The following is a 5,816-nucleotide window of genomic DNA, read 5'->3' as shown; positions in this document are numbered from 1 at the left end:
CCGGGGGTCGGGGGTCGGGGGCTGGGGGCTGAGGACTGAGTCGAGCCAGCAGCCCAGGGCATCTGTCCACGCTGTCAGAGGAGCCTCTGGGCGTGGGGCTGGCCCTTAGAGGGCTACTGCGCTGCTTAACTTGGTGGGTATAAAGGCAGGTCTCCTGTTGAGCTAAAAAATTATGGGGTACCAGCTAGGTAGGCAACATAGCGAGAACCCGTGTAGACACACACACACACACACACACACACACTAGCCAGGAGTGGTTATGGGGTACCAGCTAGGTAGGCAACATAGCGACAACCCGTGTCCACACACACACACACACACTAGCCAGGAGTGGTTATGGGGTACCAGCTAGGTAGGCAACATAGCGACAACCCGTGTCCACACACACACACAGTAGGAGGAGTGGTGGCGCGCATCTGTAGTCCCAGGTACTCGGGAGGGTCGAGGTGGGAGGATCGCTTGAACCCGGGAAGCGGAGGTTGCAGTGAGACGAGATCGCGCCACTGCACTCCAGCCTGGGCGACAGAGGAAGACTTCGTCTCAAAACAAAAACATCATGGGGAATAAGGCAAGTGCCTCCCGCGCCTCTTTCTGCTTGGTCTACATTTTGGGGTGTCGCTACTCTTGTTTGAGGAGGTGATTAGGCCAAACTGTGTGGCTGCCAAGGTGGCCTTTGGAGAAGGGAACAGCTCGGGATTGAGGCGAGACGGAGGCGGGGCTGTCTGCAGATGTTCCTGGCCCCCGGGGCAGGGGGCGCCTGAGAAGTTGTAGGGTCTCTCATAATCCCTCAGCGCAGCTCTCTCTCCCCTCCAGTGGGAAGTACGGATTCACATATTTTTGGAGACCTGTTCTCTTGGGGTCTGACTCCATCTTTTAGGAAGACTGCACCATGTTTAAGTAAGGAACTGTGAATGCTTACTTAAACCATGTTTAAGTAAGGACCTGTCACTCCACTCCGCTGGTTATTTGGTAGGAGATACAGCCCAGGCTCTCACTGCTAATTAGTGACTCAGCCGCACCACCCAGCGCAAAGCAAAGCGCCGATGCTTAGGAAGGTCCACTTTGAGGGACACGCTCAGTGGGGGTCACTTTAAGGAACACAAATAAATCCTCCTTTAAGTCTCCTCTGTGGTTCATGAAAAAGGAGAGAAACTCCATCCTCACCTAGTCTCAACAGATGGCTTGATGAGCAATTATCAGGTACCAGGTGAGTAGTAGCCGACCAATACGACCTCCTTCTATGCTACTTAACTTTTGCAAATTTCCTGCTTTCCCCTTATAAAAAAGAATAACAGTGAGTGAAACCCTACATTATTCTTGAGATGATTTTTTTTTCATTTTATTGGTATTCCAAAACATTTCCTTCAATAAGGGTTTATCAAGTGCCTCCTTTAGAACATAGTGGTTGTACGTGCATGGGGTCCTGTATATCCACTCGGGAGAGCTGGTTTGAATTCTGGCTCTGCCATCTTTTTTTTTCCATTTCTTCTCCTTCTCCTTCTCCTTCTCCTTCTTCCTCCTCCTCCTCCTTCCTCTTCCTCTTCTTCCTCTTCTTCCTTCTTCCTTCTTCTTCTTTTTTGTTTAATAAAGAAACGAGGGTATCACCCTGTCAGCCAGGCTGAAGTGCAGTGGCACGATCTCGGCTCACTGCAGCCTCGACCTCCTGGGCTCAAGCGATCCTCTTCTTCAGCCACCACGCCCTGCAAATTTTTTAAATGTTTCGTAGAGACAGGGTCTCCCTATGTTGCCCAGGCTCTCTGCCACTTTTTTGCTCTGTGGTTCTGGGCAAACATATTACTTCTTTGAGCCTCACTTTTCCTCATCTCTATATCTGGGGATTCCAATAGTACTAACTTCTTTAGACTGAGCTTCTTGAGGGAAGGGACTGTATCTGTAGTGTTTAGAGTTTAAGGTGCATCTAGTATTTACTATTTTGTCTGTCACAGTAAGGACTAAAAATAGCCCTTGAATGTGTGAATTGGGTTGCCATTAGGATTCTGTGAGATAATTCCTGTAAAATGCTTAGCACAGTGCCCGGCAAAGATAAGTGCTCCATAGACTTAGCTAGCATTAGTATGTGCCAGGCACTGCCCTAGGAGTTGTGGAGAACAGAATGTGGATCAGACTAAAGGAGAATAAAAAAGAGGAAAGAATGCACATAAAATCTATAATACCAAGAACAAAATATTCGGACATGCCATAAGATTGACACAGATAAAATGCTATCAAGCTTAGGAGACTATGTTCAGCTGGGAGGATCAAGAAAGGTTTTGCAGAGAATGTAGTTTTCAAGCTAGGCCTGATGGCCTAGGAATCAGTGAGAGAAGAGGTAGATAAGATACCCGTTAACTGCTTTTACAATAAGTGTGGTTGGAGTGGGACAGAATTTGGTCCTCTTTATTTTTTATGGATTTCAAGGTTTTAGCACATTCCTCATAGGGTTATTGTGAATATCAAGTAAGTTAATATCTATAAAGTGCATTTATAGTACTTGGTACATAGTAGGTGCTCAATAAATATTAGCTAGTATTATTATCTTAAGCTTCAGCCTGGTCTCCCAAAATATGCTCTCACTTACCCAGTATCATAGCCACACCTCATCTCATTTGTCTCTCTTCCCCATTCTATTTTAGTCATTCCAGTTGAGGCACTACTTTCTTTTTGTCAGGTCAGCTCTTTGAAACTTTTCCCAGTGGTTCCCAGTTGCCACCTCTGTTGCCATAGCCTTAAAAAAATTTTTTGTGTGTACTTTTCCAATCTAATTTAAATTATGTGTAGTTATGGTTTCTTCTCTCCCAATAGCCTTTCAATTCCTTGAAGGCAGAAACTGTTCCTTATTTGTCCCTAAACATTCCAGGACCTGTTAAGTAGCGGGTGTTCAGTAGCCATTTGTTGAAATTACTCTGATTTAATTTTTAAGTTAAATAGACTTCTGTTAGCCCACATAAAGAGGTGGCTTTGTGGTGGCTCACACCTGTAATCCCAGAAGTTCAGGAGGTTGAGGTGGAAGGATTACTTGAGGCCAGGAGTTTGACAGCAGCCTGGGCAACATAGTGAGACCCCTGTCTCTATTTTTTAAAAAATTAAAAAACTAGCCTGGCATGGTGGCTCATACCTGTAGTCCTAGCTACTCGGGAGGTTGAGATGGGAGGATTGCTTGAGTCCAGGATGTTGAGGCTGCAGTGAGCTATGATCGTGCCACTGCCCTCCAGCCGGGGCAACAGAGTAAGAACCTATCTTAAGAAAAAAAAGAGTTGGCTTTTCTATTAAAAAAACACCTACCTACATGAACTTTAATGAATGTAATGAATATTCAATTGTAACTACATTTTCTCAGAATTTAACATTTAGAAATTTATGGGAAAGAAGATGCTTGAAATGAAACTGAAACCAAAAGACTCTAAATTAAATCTTTGCATTTGTTTTTATTTTTCTATTTGTAAATATATTTGTAAATATATTTTTATATGTGCATATTTATAATTTTAAAGATTCATCCTGTAAACCACAGATTGAGAGACTTGAGAGATTCCTTTTTATCTTTTTTAAGATTGGCTGGGAATAATGATAGAACATGACCTACCATCAGGCCCCTTGTGGATCAAATATAGCCCACGCCAAATGAAAGCCACTGGTGAGAACTGAAAATGGAATTGTAAATGGAGAGAGGGCAACTAATTAGGAATGTGCCTGGTCAACAGGGAAATAGACTGTCAGTATTGACAGAAAAATAAACTATTGATATGAGTTTTTAATGACTTCTATCTTCACAAGGGTAAATTCACTAATGAGAACAGATGAAAGTTAGTTGTCAGGGTTCTATGTTTTGGAGGAGATGCGTTGGAAGAGGTCTTTAATTGTGAAATGGGGAAAGAGACTGGTGCTGTATTTGGGACTTTTTGAGGAGAAAAAACAAGTCCAGTGAAGAGCAATGTAAATTCCTTTTCTTTATGTGAAGGGGGCCAAAAAGGGTTAAAAACCCAGGATGCAAAAGTGGGTACTGTGCCAGAGTTAGACAGTGATTTATACTGTACATACCAGAAACTGTATAAATCATTTTATTTGACAAATGGTATTGTTATTTCTCCAGCAGACTTAAGAGCTTTGGAATCATCACAGCTTTGTAAGGTAGTATTACAGACTGAGTCATTAGATCATTCATTTTGCCTGATTACATCATCTCACTGGGTTATTGGGGGAATGAAAGAAACTCATTATCAAAATTGTCATCTTGATGATGTAGATTAAAGAAAATGAATCAAACTTCTGAGAATTAACTTTCACAATCTGTTTAAAATTGACTGGGAGTTAAAAAAATTGGTTGCAGAGCAGGAATGATTGAAATCTTGTCATTTTTAAAAGTCAGAGATCAAAGGAATAGTATTTGGAAGATATTTAATATAAACAGTTGAAATTTATGTAGAGTTTTTTTTTTTTTTTTTTTGAAGACTTCTTGGCTGGGCGCGGTGGCTCACACCTGTAATCCCAGCACTTTGGGAGGCTGAGATGGGCAGATCACGAGGCCAGGAGATTGAGACCATCCTGGCTAACACGGTGAAACCCCATCTCTATTAAAAATACAAAAAATTAGCTGGGCGTGGTGGCAGGAGCCTGTAGTCCCAGGGGAGGCTGAGGCAGGAGAACGGCGTGAACCTGAGAGGCAGAGCTTGCAGTGAGCCAAGGTCGCGCCACTGCACCCCAGCCTGGGTGACAGAGCGAGACTCCATCTCAAAAAAAAAAAAAAAAAAGAAAAAAAAGACTTCTTTATTGAGGTATAATGTACATATGATAAAATTTACCTGTCTTAAGTGTATATTTCAGTATTTTTTGTAAATTTACAGAGTTGTCAACATCACCAAAGTGCAGTTTTGGAACACTGTCATTACCTGAGAAAAATCCCTAGTGTATACCATATGCAGTCAGTTCTCAGCTCCTGCCTCTGGTCCTAGGTGACCAGTCTTCTGCTTGCTGTCTTATGAATTCGCCTTTTCTGGACAATTCATATAGATGGAATCTGATAATATGTGACCTTTTTTTGCCTGGCTTCTTTTAATTAGCATAATGTTTTTGAGGCTCACACATGTCGTAGCATGTATCAATACTTCATTCTTTTTTATGACTGAATACTATCCCGTTATATGAATATATTACATTTTGTTTATCCATTTACTGGTTGATGGTCATCTGAAATGTTTCTGGTTTGGGGCTATTTTGACTGATAATGCATAGTAAGACTTTGTGTGGACACATGTTTTCATTTCTCTTGGGAATACAGACTTGAGCCGCCGCACCCACACCAGATGTATGATTCATAAGTATTTTCTCCCAGGCTGTGTCATGTATTTCATTTTCTTAGTGGTGTAATTTGAAGTACTAACATTTAAAGTTTTGATGAACTCCAACTTATTAATTTTTTTCCTTTATAAATTGTGCTTTTGGTGTTATATCTAAGAAATCTTTGCCTAACCTAAGGTCATGAAAATTTTTTTTGAAGATTTTTTCTATGTTTCCTCCTAATAGTTGTATATTTTAGTTTTTACATTTAACTCTATGCCATTTTGCATTAATTTTTATGTGCATTATGAGGTAAGGGTCTAGATTCATTTCTTTTCATGCAGATGTTCAATTTTCTCAGTATCATTTGTATAAAAGACTATCCTTTTCTCATTAAATTCCCTTGGCAACTTTGTCAAAAATCAATTCACCATAAATGTAAGAGTTAGCTTTTAGACTTTAAATTATGTTCTATTGATCTATATGTCTGTCCTTATGCCATATTATACTGTATTGATTATTGTAGTTTTGTAGTAAGTTTG

General features: G+C 41.1%; 1 protein-coding gene across 1 annotated transcript in view; it reads left to right on the top strand.

Moving 5' to 3' along the window:
* DENND2B (DENN domain containing 2B) overlaps positions 3 to 5,816 on the top strand; it is a 217,600-nt gene continuing 211,786 nt past the window's right edge. The window contains exon 1 of the mRNA NM_005418.4: positions 3 to 133. The gene's annotated coding sequence lies outside the window, so the exon portion shown is untranslated. The remainder of the gene's footprint in view (positions 134 to 5,816) is intronic.

Source organism: Homo sapiens, chromosome 11, assembly GCF_000001405.40.
Source record: "Homo sapiens chromosome 11, GRCh38.p14 Primary Assembly".
Taxonomy (NCBI): Eukaryota; Metazoa; Chordata; class Mammalia; order Primates; family Hominidae; genus Homo; species Homo sapiens.
Note: the sequence above shows the minus strand (reverse complement) of the source record. Positions and strands in the feature narration are given on the sequence as shown.